Genomic DNA, 13,918 nt, shown 5'->3' with positions numbered 1-13,918 from the left:
GAGGAGACAGGGAGATGGAGGCTTTTATGCTGGGTGTCATTGAACCCAGCTGAGAATCAGGATCTGTTATCAAGGAAGGGCATTGCCGCTAAGGAATTGGCAGCTAGCAGTCTTACCATGGAATCTTAATGCAGGACATGCATCGGTATGAACTGTTACCTCAGATGTCTAGCATCATACAGCCAAACAAGTTTAGCCAGGCCCTGGGACGTGTGGCTCAGACCCCTGGCTTAACTACTGGTTTATACTACTTTACCACATCACATCATTAACTTAAGCATCACGCCCTAAAACTACTTGTAAAAAGCCTCTGGCTATAAAAATGGATTTATGTGTCTCTTCTCCATCAAATTGGGGAAAACCAGTTACATGATAGTTAGCAAACACGTTGTTGAAAGATGGTCTTAAATGGAAAGGTTGTCCTTTTGGGGGCAGGTAGATGACTTCAGGATTTTGTATAGTAGGTGGCTTGGTGTAACGGCATTGGGCAGAAGAGCAGTTTAATAGTGGCCATTAAAAGTTATATAAGTGGCCAGGTGTGGTGGCTCACGCCTGTAATCCCAGCACTTTGGGAGGCTGAGGGAGGAGGATCACCCGAGGTCGGGAGTTCAAGACCAGTCTGGCCAACATGGTGAAACCCCATCTCTACTAAAATACAAAAATTAGCCTGGGGTGGTGGTGGGCGCCTGTAATCCCAGCTACTCGGGAGGCTGAGGCAGAATCATTTGAACCCGGGAGGCAGAGATTGCGGTGAGCTAAGATTGTGCCACTGCACTCCAGCCTGGGTGACAGAGACAGACTCTGTTAAAAAAAAAAAGAAAAAAGAATGAAAAAAGTTAAATAAGTAAAGATATCAATATTCAAGTAATATGAAAAAGCTTTGGAAAGTAAAAACATTGAAAGTGAAGGTATTCTCATTACTTTTATATTCATATTAAATAACTCTTTCCTTCTCTTAGAAAATGCAGAAAAGGGCTGGGCACAGTGGCTTAAGCCTGTAATCCCAGCACTTTGGGAGGCTGAGGTGGGCGGATCTCTTGAGCCTAGGAGTTTGAGACCAGCCTAGGCAACACAACAAAATCCCATCTCTGCAAAAAATACAATAAAATCTAGCTGGGTGTGGTGGTGCATGCCTGTGGACCCAACTACTTGGGAGGCTGAGGTGGGAGGATCGCTTGAGCCTGGAAAGTTGAGGCTGCAGTGAGCAGTGATTGTAACATTGCACTCCATCCTGGGCGACAGAGTGAGACTCTATCTCAAAAAAAATAAATAAATAAAAGAAAAAGAGAGGCTGGGCATGGTGGCTCACGCCTGTAATCCCAGCACTTTGGGAGGCTGAGGTGGGCAGATCACGAGGTCAGGAGTTCGAGACCAGCCTGGCCATCATAGTGAAACCCCATCTCTACTAAGAACAAACAAAAAAAATAGCCGAACGTGGTGGCATGCGCCTGTAGTCCCAGCTACTCAGGAAGCTGAGGCAAGAGAATCACTTGAACCCGGGAGGCGGAGGTTGTGGTGAGCCAAGATTGAGCCACTGCACTCCAGCCCGGGCAACAGAGTGAGTCTCTATCTCAAAAAAAAAAAAAAAAAAAAAGGAAAAGAAAAAGAGGCTGGTCACGGTGGCTCATTCTTGTAATCCTAGCACATTGGGAGGCCGAGACAGGTGGATCACGAGGTCAGGAGATCGAGACCATCCTGGCTAACACAGTGAAACCCCGTCTCTACTAAAAATACAAAAAGCTAGCCGGGCATGGTGGTACGTGCCTGTAGTTCAAGCTACTTGGGAGGCTGAAGCAGGAGAATTGTTTGAACCCAGGAGACAGAAGTTGCAGTGAGCCGAGATCGCATCACTGCACTCCAGCCTGGGTGACAGAGTGAGACAACATCTTGGAAAAAAAAAAGAAAAAAGAAAAGAAAAAGAAAACGGAAAAACAGGGGTAAAAACACTGTGTGTTTTTCCAGTTTTTCTGTGCATTTTTGCATGTTTATTTTTACCCCTAGATAATAGCCTAACAAAAATATTGCTTGTAGCATGTGTTTCTCCTCCCTCTGTCAGTGTGTTGTCAGCTTGTGGCCCTAATCACTACACTCTTGCCTGCACACTCCTGTTGGACAGCTGGGGTATTTCATTGTTGTTCTGTGTGGCCTAGTGCTTTAGTTTCATATAATTGGGAATAACGTCGTTCTGCTCACAAGGCCACAGCATCCACTTTGCATTAATGTTTGATTTATCCCCTGCCTGTACCTTCTTTGGGTTTCAACCAACTCATTCTTAACTTTATAGCTGAAAGAGCAGAGGTGAGTGGTGAACTGTATTTGGTTTGGGGCTAGGCACACCTGTCTTCCTCTTTTCAGATGTCAGCTTAAATGATCATGAGATCTTTGCTGCCTTCTCTTCTTCTAGAGGCACTTTCTTCTTTAGCCAAGCTGGTCTCCCCTTTCCTCCTTGCTGGCAGGGGTGCCCTCGCCTCATCTCTCTGCCTGTCCAACCCTTCCGCAGTTTTCTGTGCTCAGTTCAAACCTGGCTGCTTCTGGTAGCCCATCACATATCCTTGCTGTAGTCAGTGCTAAGTCATCATTTGATGAATGTGTACTACCTGGTAGTTCGTAGAAGAATATTGGAGTGACAAGAGACTAGAACCCCTGGTCTAATGGCTGCAAGTTCAACTGCCATCCAGCCAGGGTGAGTCAGTTTAAAGCACTGGTAGGCATTCATAGGCCATAACGAAACAAAACACCGTGCTGGCCTGTAAGCCAACCTGCCAAGTTACACAACCTGGCCTCTTTTTTTGGCTATGATTTCAGGAGCATCCCTTACATCTCCAAATAGGTTTTGTGTCTTTAGCTCCCAGCATAGTTCCAGGTGCATAGTAGGGTCCTCAATAAATGTATAGATAAAAGGAATGAATGAATGAATGAATGAATGAATGAAATATCATGTGAACTGGTTTACTTACGTGATCCCAAAATGTAAATGTTCCCTTTCTCTTACCCATGGGTGTCATTCAGACCTCACTTGTGTGGAATTATTTATTTATTTATTTATTTTATTTTTTATTTAGTAGAGACAGGGTCTCGCCGTGTTGCCCAGGCTGGTCTTGAACTCCTGGGCTCAAGCAATCCACCTGCTTTGGTCTCCCAAACTGTTGGAATTACAGGCGTGAGCCACCAGGCCCGGCCATATGGAATTTGCTTTTCATCCTCGTTAGAGTCCCCTGGCCCTTGATCCATCTTAATTGTCTGAGCCCAACCACCTGTTTTGGATGCTGGAGTGTGGTGTTGTGACAGTACATTCGTTATTAATCCCAAACGCCTCTGCCTCCTCCCCTCTTCACACTTTTCCTGATCACCAGCCCTGGCTAACTCACTGGCCCACGTCTCCACTGTAGCCAGTTGCCGGCTGCTAGGAGCTGCTGGAGCCGACCACTGCCCGGTGCTGTCGGGTCTACTCCCAGTCTGTTCTGTCCAACCTCAGTACTCCCTTTGTTCCCAACTTGGGGACTGCCTGTCACGCTCCTCATGGTGCCTGTTCCAGTTTTGTTGAATTGTTGGATTGGCTGCTCCTGTTGGAACTGGAGGTCCATGTAGCATCTCCCTCTCCAAATTCTGTTCACTTGCACCTTGTCCTCGTCTCCAACCTTCTCTTGGAGTTCACAAGGTCAGGAAGCTGAAGACATGCTTTCACCAGTGTGAGGATGATAGAGATTTTGTCTTCCCATTGGCCTCAGCTCAGCAGGCTCTAACATTCTAAGCCCTGGAGTATACCTGGACCACACACTAGCCAAAGCTCCTGACTGGTTTTCCTGTGTGGGATTTCTCATGGCTGGTGAGTTTGCTGGCTGCCAGACCTGTGGCACCCTGGGACCCACTGGATCCCAGTCTCTAGTGTCGTCCTGCACGCATGGTAGAGCCCATTCTGCCTGATGGAGGAAGCAGCTAAGGCTCAGGCACCCTGGTCAGGGATGATGTGGCATTAGACTTGCCTCGAAAAAGGATGAGGAGTAGCTGTAAAAGCAGTTTTTTCCTACAAGAGAATGAAATAGGCAGGAAAACATTCCCAGAGTGGACCTGGAAGGCAGTGAAGTATCATCTGGAAAACCCAAGTCTTGGTCCTTTTTGAGAGGTAAGTAAATGACTTTTTGTATGCTTCATGGAGGCCTCTCCAAATGAAATACTTCTGGCATTACCTGGCTCAGGTACTTCTGAATTTCACTCCCTGTTTTTTTCCTTAGTCAGGTCCTTTGGTGGTTTTTGCCACATGTTCCTTCTTAACAGAGAGTTGGAGGATGATGGATGTGTTTTGAGGATTTTCCCAGGCAAAAGTGTACAAGCGCTCAGAGAATTGGATTTATCTTTTGGTTGCAGGAGGCTATGCCAGAGGTTAGCTAGCAGCCACCTGGCGTGTCTCAGAGCATCCTGTTCAGTTGATGGGTAGCGTTTCCTATGAATACAGAGATATGTTCTGCAAGCCAAAATAAATACGTAAGTGAATAAAGCTGAAATGAAGCAAATAACCAGCCGGGTGAACAGGACTCAGCAGAAGAAACCATTGAGGCCGGAGATCTGACTTGCAAGTCCTGTTGCATCTTTCAGTTCTTGAACGTGGTTTGGGAACCTTGCCTTTCCCTTTTGTCCTGTGCCTTTGTGGCCATCTCCTGCACAAAGTTGGTTTTCTTTTATGGGCCAGTCTAAGTCCTGGTGTTAAGAATACAGCAGGAAACAAAAAAGACACAGGCCCTCCTCTCCAGGAGCTCCCTGTGGGGTCAGGGGGAAAGACCTTGATCAAAATAAAGTGGCACAAAATGTAAAGTCAAGACTGTGGTGAGTACCATGAGCATGGCTGATAACGGGACATGCCTCGAGAGGAGTGCTGGAGAATTCTCTGAGGAAGTTTTGTTTCCGACGTGATCTGAGAGAGGCAAGAGTGGAGACAAAGTGGAAAGGGAAGGTGGGGCAAGGAGGTTCCAGGCAGTGAGGCCAGCAGGCCCAGTGCCCCGTACAGTGTGGCCTCCTGGGAGGCAAATTGCGTGCTTGGATTCTCTTGCCTCCATCCTTTCCTGTGGTTGGTGGAGAAGGATTCGTAAGGGGAATGGATCTCTTTGTGGGCCACGTGCCTTCATTTCCCAGCGGTTGCTCTAGAGTTCTGCCTGCCTCTTCTTCCTATTTCATCACCGTGGAGGTTCTCTGCAGCTTACTCAGTGGGGCAGCAAGTAGCTCAGGACACCAGGCAACTTTTAAGCTCTCATAATGCTGTGCTGGAGTTGGAGCAGAAGCTTGTGCTGTATGAAGGGCCTTGGTTGGGGTTTCTGGACCATGAGCTTTTAGTTGCAGAAAACAGCCTTGGTGAGGGGTTGAGTTCAGGGCAAGAAAGGCTTTGAAAGGCGTGTGGGGTCTGATTTCCAGATGAGTATTTAGTCTCTTCCTCTTTGATCTGTTTCCTCTGATTTGAGCCACTATTGCCTTGAAAGTAAGTAATACATTTTATTGTATCTTCCCTTCCCCACATCCCTCCCAACCAAACCTGGTAAGAGCTAGGTATTGACCACAGTTTGCGGGTGGTCTGTGGCACCGTCATTGTTCAGGTTCAAGATTTGTCCTTCAGGATCTCTGAGGAGATGAGAGAAGAGCCTGCCTATTTCTCCTTTCCTCCTCATCTCTTGGAAAAATTTCCATTCCTTAACCTGGTTCTTCACCTTGTTTCGATGATGTAGCTCAGGGTCACTTATGGATGGCACACAAAGCAGTGATGTCAGTGGTCTGGTTGAGTCAGGAGAAAAATGTAGCTTCTATCCCAGGTCCAGGGAGCCCAGGTCTTTACTGTGGAGTCCCCTTCAATACCCCTGACAGCCTCTTGTAGAACCACACTTTGTTCCTCTTATAATGTAAAGATTAACATAGGGCCAGGGAACCACGCAAAATGGTTCCATGCAAAATGTGGATACATTCATTTTGGAGGGAAAAGGTCAGGGCTCTTATTATTGTAAGACTCAGAGAAGGTTATGAATCAATATCATTACAGATAACTTAAATTGGGCATCTGTGTAAGAGGTGTTCTGGTGCAGTGGAAAGAACGTGGGCCCCAGGGCTGTCCTTGACACTGACTGGCCGGGTGGCCTTGGGCACGTCTGTGATCTCTCTGGACCTCAGATTCTTCATCTGCAAAATGAGGGGTTTGGACAGGTGGTCTCTGAGGTCCTGCCCAGGACTTAAAGCATGAATGTCTGTGTATTTGGGAATGTTAGTGACTACACGGTTTGTCTGCCTGTGCATGTCAGGCTGCTATGTGCTCAGGTTCCCCACTTCGGGGCTTGTTCTGGCTTGGGCTGAATCTACTGAAAGGGAATCTTTGCTGAGTGGTTTAGTGGAGAAAACAGTTGACAGGAGCCCACAAGTGGTCCCCTTCCCCCACTGCTGCTCAGGGCATGACAGATGGCCTTGCTGAGAGAAGATGCTCTGGTCACATGAACCATCCTGGAGATTCACAATAATCCAAGGACAGCCTTCCTCCTAGAAGCAGGACACAGTTAGTCGCCTGCTACTCTGTCCTTGGAGCTAAGCAAGGGGCATCCTGGTGTCTCGGAGCTTTGCTGCTGCTTTGATTTACACTTGCTTCCTGCTCACTTTTTTGAAACAACATAGGGCTTTTCCAGGTGGGGCTCAAGGTCACTTAGGCGACTTTAATTGTGTGCCTCATATATCCCCACTGACCTGCAGAATAACAGGAAGAACATGTCCCCTGTGTGATCCACTATACTGTAAGAGTGAGACATATACATTAGACATATTAAAAGCTGTGGGTTGCATGTCCCTTTCCCTCCTAACTTCCCTAAAGTTTTTGCTCTCTATAGGAAACTTGAAGGTTTTGATCTGAGAAGAAAACATTTTCCCCTTAAGATTGGTTTTGGGAACCACCGTGGTCTAATGGAAGAAACACCGCCTTGGGAGTTAGATAGACTTGGATTTAAGCTACTTCTTGAGCACTTGACATTGGGCACGTGGCCAACCTCTTGGAGTCACAGGAAATCTCATCCGTAAAATATGAACAACACAGAAATGAGCAGTACTGTTTTAAGATGATATGAGCTATTATGTGTCAGTATCACACAGGCACTGCATTCAGTAAATGGCACTGTGCTTTTTTTCCTTTCTAAGGAGTAGGAGAAACTTCTTTCCATTCCTTGTTATTTTAGTTGCACACAGGATATGGCTGAATTTCCCTTTTTAAAGTGGTGCAAGAGGATTTTAGGCAGCCCTGAGTAGCCCTCTCCTAAGCCAGCCAGGCATAGTTTTACTATTCCCACCGAAACAGGCAGATTTAATTCTGCTGAAGCCCCTGAAAGGGATTGAGCCCCACCAGCCCCTTCTAACTGTGCAAAAGCCTCTTGTGGAAACGGCCCGTGCGTCTTGAACCCTCTGGACTCAGCCTTAACTCGAAGTGCTTGGTCCTCTGAAAAATGCAGCCTCGTCCTGTCTGTTACAGCCTTTGGCTTGATTGAATGGGACAGCTGGCCAGTTTTATGGCTCTGCTGGACTCTCAGTTGATAATTAAAATGCTTTTGCCCCAGGAGGAAGGCAATATATTTATTTCCCTCCCTTCTCTGCTGCATTAGTCTGCTTTTTTCACATCTTCTCCTGGCCTCCCTATGTCAACTTAGCTTTCTTGTTACACAGTGTCATTTAAGACTCTGGAGTATTCAGGGTGGATTGAAGAGATTTTATTTTGAGTTTTGTGGTCTTGTTTTGGAAGGTAAACGGAGCATGTCTGGCCCTTTTTCATCTCTGTATAAGAGCTTTGTTTCCTACAGCTACTCTCTAAATCTGGTTGTGTCCAGCACTTAGTAGGTCCTTAAGAAATGTTTATAGTTTTGATAATCACAGATTCTAGCACTGTGTCTTTCCCATACATACCTCCTTCCCGCATAGACATTCTCCAAACAACACCACACCTCTTCTCCTTTAGAGCCCTCATTTAGGATGTGAACCCTCTCTTCTTTTGGGGATGAGCCCATGTGAACTGTGGGTGAAACTGGATTTGAGTCTTACCTGGCTCTGTTACTTGCTAGCTAAGGACCTTGAGCAAATGATACACCCTCTGTGGCTTAGCTTTTGCAGATGTAAAGCGGGAATAATGATAATACCACCGATCTCATCTTACGGGGTAGAAGTGAGGATTAAATAAGATCATCTAGGTGAAGTTCTTAGGAGTGCCTGGCACGTAATAAGCACCCAGTATATTGACCATTTTAATTATAATTCCATCTGCTACACTTATTCCCTTAGTATTTAGATCACAATTGGTGATTATATTTTTGGGTGGTATCTTTTGTCTTGTACTTGCATTTTCATTGTTTTAGTCATATTCTTTCCAGTTGTACTGTAGAATTTAAAAAATTCAAAATGTAGTGGATACACATGGGTAAAAATAGGACAAAATTGAAATACAAAGAAAAGTCTGTCTCCAGAAAAAGAGAGAGAAAAAAGAAAAGTCTCTGTCCTTCCCTCCCAAACCCTAAGTTTACTTCTTAGAGGCAAATGCGATTAAGTATCTTTTTGTCTCTGATAACTTTTTTTCTATGAAAACATAGAAATCCCAATAGAATTCTGGACAGCAGAGGTGTTGCTGTTTTTCATCCCTTCGTCTTCCCTTGCTCCCCCCATCTCTGTCTCCCCTCACATCATCCCTAGTATAGGACTTCGCATGTAGCAGCCCAGGTGTTTGGTGGCAATTCCAATGTGGCCAACCAAAAAATCTTGTTTTGTTTGTGTGTTTTTTTTTGTCCCTAGTTCCTTTCTGGATGGACTCAAAACACTTTTACTGAATGAGCTTTGTTTGTTCTCTTCAAGCCTTTGCTTTTATATATCTATTTCATAAACTTCTCAGGGGCTTGGGACCCTAGAGGAAGGTGTTCCTTGGAGTAGCTTGTAAAGTCAGAAGCCCAATGTGTGTCTTTGGAATTGCCCAGCTGTGAAGGTACTGACTGTCCATCCATCCCTTGGAGCAGGTTTGGGAGTGGGGCCCATTGCAGCAGGTGGGCATCAGGATGCTGGCAATGACCGATCTTTTTTTTTTTTTTTTTGAGACAGAGTCTTGTACTGTTGCCCGAGCTGGTGTGCAGTGGTGCCATCTCGGCTTGCTGCAACCTCTGCCTCTGAGGTTCAAGTGATTCTCCTGCCTCAGCCTCCCGAGTAGCTAGGATTACAGGTGCCCGCCACCACACCCAGCTAGTTTTTTGTATTTTTAGTAGAGACGGGGTTTCACTATGTTGGCCAGGCTGGTCTCAAACTCCTGACCTTGTGATCCGCCCGTCTTGGCCTCCCAAAGTGCTAGGATTACAGGTGTGAGCCACTGCGCCCAGCCAGTGACTGATCTTATAGTTAAGATCTTTCTCTGCAAATCCTTGTGACTGCAAGCTGATGTGGCTTATGAGGCAATATAACAGGAAAAAGTATCATTGAAAAAGGAAAAAAAAATAGTTATGCTAGATTCCAGTGTGCAGATACAACTGTTTTCATCTTTATATTTGGCTTTCCTATTCTTATCTATATACCTCATCTCCTCCTGCTGTTTTATTCACGGTGTACATGCCATCTGGACACTTAAAATTTGTTTTTGTTTCTGCATTCTGTTAACCTTCAGGGTCCAAGAGGAAGGAGGATGCCTTAATCAGTGAGTACCAAGAAAAACCAAAAAACTAAAAATAAAAACAATAAATAAGAGGAAGGAGAAAAGGACTGTGGGTAGGGAAAATAGCGATAGATTTTGGATTCTGGTCATTCTTGACTTTCTTTTTTGCTTATAGATATGATTAGAGCTTACTGGAACCTTACAGTTGTGAACTAGAGAAGCTGAGTGACTTGCCTAAGGTCATCCTGATGCTCATGATAGTGTTCCTTCTTTTAGCCCGACAATGGAACACTGTTACTCTGCCAGGCTTTCCAGCTAGGACCAAAGTATTTCAGACAACAGTGGAAACAGGATCTGTACCCCATTCGAGGAACCAGGGGGACAATTTCCTTGTAAGGTCCCAAGGTCAAAGTTTGGGGTGAAGTCAGTGTTTTTCCTGGTTACTAACATGAACTCGGTCTTTGGTATGTTATGTAGAAGGATAACAGTGTTCAGTATTCTTCTAGGTGGTACAATTTTTAGGAAGAAAAGAATAATAAAAACATTTTTTATTTCTTAAGCAGTAGACTCCTGGCTCCCTGTGCTTAGAGATAGGAATCCCCGCTGAGAGATAGATGGGAATCCTGGAGTGGATTGTTAATAATCTCCCTGTTATTGGCACAGTTGTGTGATAGAGAGTTGTTTTCCCCTCTCCCCTGCCTTAGGAGACCTACCCTTACTAAGTATTTGGATTAAATTAATAATAAAATAGCTTGCTTTGCCCAAATGCACAGCAGCTAGTGACAAGGGGAGATGCCACATCACATCCCATGGATGGCAATGGAAAATCAACTAAGGACGTAAAATTTTCCCACATAAGCTTCAGATGACTTAAGATTATTAGTGTAACCTGATATTATCTGATACTCTCCTTGGCTTATTATTCATGGTGACAGTAATACATGGCCCTCATTTCCTTCATCCCCCAAATAGTCCTAGAGGTAGTAGAAAGAGTATGGTAGTCCCCTCTTATCTGCCATTTCACTCTCCCTGTTTTTAGTTACTCATAGTCAACTGTGGTCCAGAAATATTACATGGAACATTCTAGAAATAACGATTCATAAGTTTTAAATTGCACACCATTCTGAGTAGCGCAATGAAGTCTCACGCCTTCCCACCCCTTCTTGTGTGGGATGTGAATCACATCCTGTCCAGCATGTCCACACTGGGTGTACTACCTGCCCATTAGTCATCCACATGGTCTGTCCTGACATCCAACCATTGACATTGTCACAACTCAATGATCCCGGGTCATCCAAAGCAGACGATCCTCTGACTACACATCAGAAGGTTGGGAGTACCAAACACTGTGTCACTGTGTCACCTCGCCTATGTCATCTACCGCGCACTTCATCTCATCACGTACCCATTTTTTCATCTCATAACGTCACAAGAAGGGCGAATACAGTACAACAAGATCTTTTCAGAGAGAGAGAGAAACCACATTAATAAAACTTTTCTTATAGTATAGTTGTTCTATTTTATTGTTAGTGTTAATCTCTTACTGTGCCTAATTTATAAATTAAACTTTATCATAGGTATGAATGTATAGGAAAAAACAGTATATACAGGGTTCTATCCATGGATTGGGGCATCCACTGGGGATCCTGGAATGTGTCCCCTGAAGATAAGGAGGGACTCCTGTAATCATGCTTTGTATTTGGTCCTTTAGAATTTTATTTGAAACAGTATCTACCTGAGGTACTCCAGGAAGAGGTGGTAGTATCCCCATTTTATAACAGAGGAAGCTGAGGCTCAGGGAGGTTTAACAATGCCCTGCCCAAGAACACATAGCTAGAGAATGATAGGGCCTGGACTCAAATACCAGGCTCTTGAGTGCTTGCATGGTTTTCTTTCTGCTCTGCTTGTTGGAAACAGACTGCAATAGGAGATCCTTCTCTAGCACCTTGTTCTGCAGGACGGACCCTGTGACTCACCAGAGTCTGGGTGCAACAGGGCTAGACCTGGACATTAAACCTGGTCTTGGGGACTTTGTGGGGTAGATCATCCCCACATTTCGAACTACAGATAGGGGATCCTTTATTTCTCCAACCCAGGACCTCTGGTACCTCCAGACCTGATGGTCCTAAAATGCACAAGACCTGAGAGCTAGTTTCTCATTTCTCTTTTCCCCAGGGCCCCTCCAAAAGCACAATTTGAACCTCAGCCATCCTTCTGTAGCCTCAGGTTTGCTTCTTCTTCCATCTCACTCACTCTGTCTCCCAGGCTGGAGTACAGTGGCCTCCACTTCCCGGGTTCGAGCAGTTCTCCTGCATCAGCCTCCTGAGTAGCTGGGATTACTGACGCCTGCCACCACACCTGGCTAATTTTTGTATTTTCAGTAGAGATGGGGTTTCAACATATTGGCCAGGCTGGTCTTGAACTCCTGTCCTCAAGTGATCTGCCCACCTCGGCCTCCCAAAGTTGTGGGATTACAGGCATGAGCCACTGTGCCCGGCTTCAGCTTTGCTTCTTGTTAGTGTTTGTCCTGAACCAAAATTGTGCTTGCATACAGCTGTCCAGAAGTTGGGCCATCGCAGAAGCTTCCATGTTATTGGGCTCTTGTACTTACTTGTGTTTGTGTTGTGGTTTTGTTTTTTATTTTATTTTATTTATTTTAGTATTTTTTTTTGTTTTGAGACGGAGTTTTGCTCTTGTTTCCCAGGCTGGAGTGCAGTGGCGCGATCTCAGCTTGCTGCAGCCTCCACCTCCCGGGTTCAAGCGATTCTCCTGCCTCAGCCTCTCAAGTAGCTGGGATTACAGGCATGCACCACCATGCCCAGCTAGTTTTGTATTTTTAGTAGAGGTGCAATTTCACCATGTTGGTCAAGCTGGTCTCGAACTCCTGACTTCAGGCTATCTGCCTGCCTCGGCCTCCCAAAGTGCTGGGATTACAGGCGTGAGCCACTGCGCCTGGCCGTGGTTTGTTTTTGTTTAAACAAAAGAAGTATATATAGATTTCAGATACATTCACAGATGATTGTTTATGGAATTTAAAAAATTTTAACCAGAAAAGTAATATAAACATTCAAAAAGGGTTTGGACACGTCTGTTAATTGCAGAGCCCTGTGTGGTTATTCAGATGCCACGTCTTTCAGCTCTGTGTAGTCTGGGAGGTGAGCGGGCCTTTCTGGGGTGTTTCTTTGCAGCTGAATTTATGGCCAAATGGACCATGCGTGAGCAAGAGAGCAGTTCCATTCCTCCTGGAGGAGCGCTGAGCATGCTTTGTGGTGCCCACTTAACACTTTTAGATGAATACTATGAAAGACAAATTTGACTTCACTGTTCATTCCTTGAAGCTCCAATTTGGATTGATTGCTGGTGGAATAACACCTGGACTATCAATGAGTGAAGCCTCCCGGCTATTTCCTTCGCCCACCTCACAAAGAGAATTTGGATTTTGCTGCTCCTGGAACTTTAGAGCTTTGTGATGGGAGGAAAGGGGAGGGGACAAAGAGTGAATCCTTCAGGAGCTCTTTTGGGAGGAATTTTGAGCAGGAAATGAGGGAGCTTCTTTCTATAAGGACAGTGGATGGAATTAAAAAGGGGTATTTGAGGAAGCGTTGCTGTGGATCATATGAAACCTTTGGATGCTCAAGAAAAATAAGAGTCAGACTAATTTGAATTTACTTTAGGATGCCGTCTTCCTTCCCACCTTACCGTTGTTTGGACACAGTACTGTCCTGGGCTTCTAACATGTGAGTCTGTGGCTTTATATGCTTGACTCTAGTTGCATGGACCATGAATCTGGCCAATTTTAGGTTTCTTACAAGCATTTTGATGCTTGATTTGATGTGTAGTATATTGGTGGAGAGACTGGGATAATGACCTTCCAGGAAGAGTAAAAGTGACCCCACTGAGGAAAAATAAGATATTCTAAGACTTTTCCTTACATGGGCATTCACTGAAGGCAGAGAACACGGCATTTGAGCGTTTTCCCAGCAGTTTCTGGGTATGCCTGTTATGCCCACCTTCCAGGTAGCAGGGAAGGAAGGAAAGGACTGGCTTTCACCTGGAAACTGAGGTGTAACATCTAGAGAATTTGTATAGTTTTGAATTTTCCCTACCATGGTGAGATCCTCAACTCTGTCTCATGGGGAACAGGATTTGTAGAGTAATATTCAGAGGTAGACTAGGAAGATGCTAGGAAGTCTCATCTTCCCCATGCAATGGACATGGAGGTGGGAGGAAGGAATTAGAAAAGCATCCATATCATAGACTGAAAGACAGTGAGTCAGAGCAAAGCTAGTCTTG

General features: G+C 45.2%; 1 protein-coding gene across 7 annotated transcripts in view; it reads left to right on the top strand.

Moving 5' to 3' along the window:
* Positions 1–13,918, top strand: part of MAP3K9 (mitogen-activated protein kinase kinase kinase 9) — an 86,988-nt gene that overhangs the window by 12,929 nt on the left and 60,141 nt on the right. For 3 of the 7 annotated variants that reach the window (NM_001284232.1, XM_011536792.1, NM_001284231.1), the window contains exon 1: positions 13,133–13,362. The exons of the other annotated variants lie outside the window; for them this stretch is intronic. The gene's annotated coding sequence lies outside the window, so the exon portion shown is untranslated. Of the gene's footprint in view, positions 1–13,132; positions 13,363–13,918 lie in introns of those variants that run through there. 7 annotated transcript variants of the gene reach the window in all.

This window comes from Homo sapiens, chromosome 14, assembly GCF_000001405.40.
Source record: "Homo sapiens chromosome 14, GRCh38.p14 Primary Assembly".
Classification (NCBI taxonomy): Eukaryota; Metazoa; Chordata; class Mammalia; order Primates; family Hominidae; genus Homo; species Homo sapiens.
The sequence above is the reverse complement of the archived record's forward strand: the minus strand, read 5'-3'. Positions and strand labels throughout refer to the sequence as shown.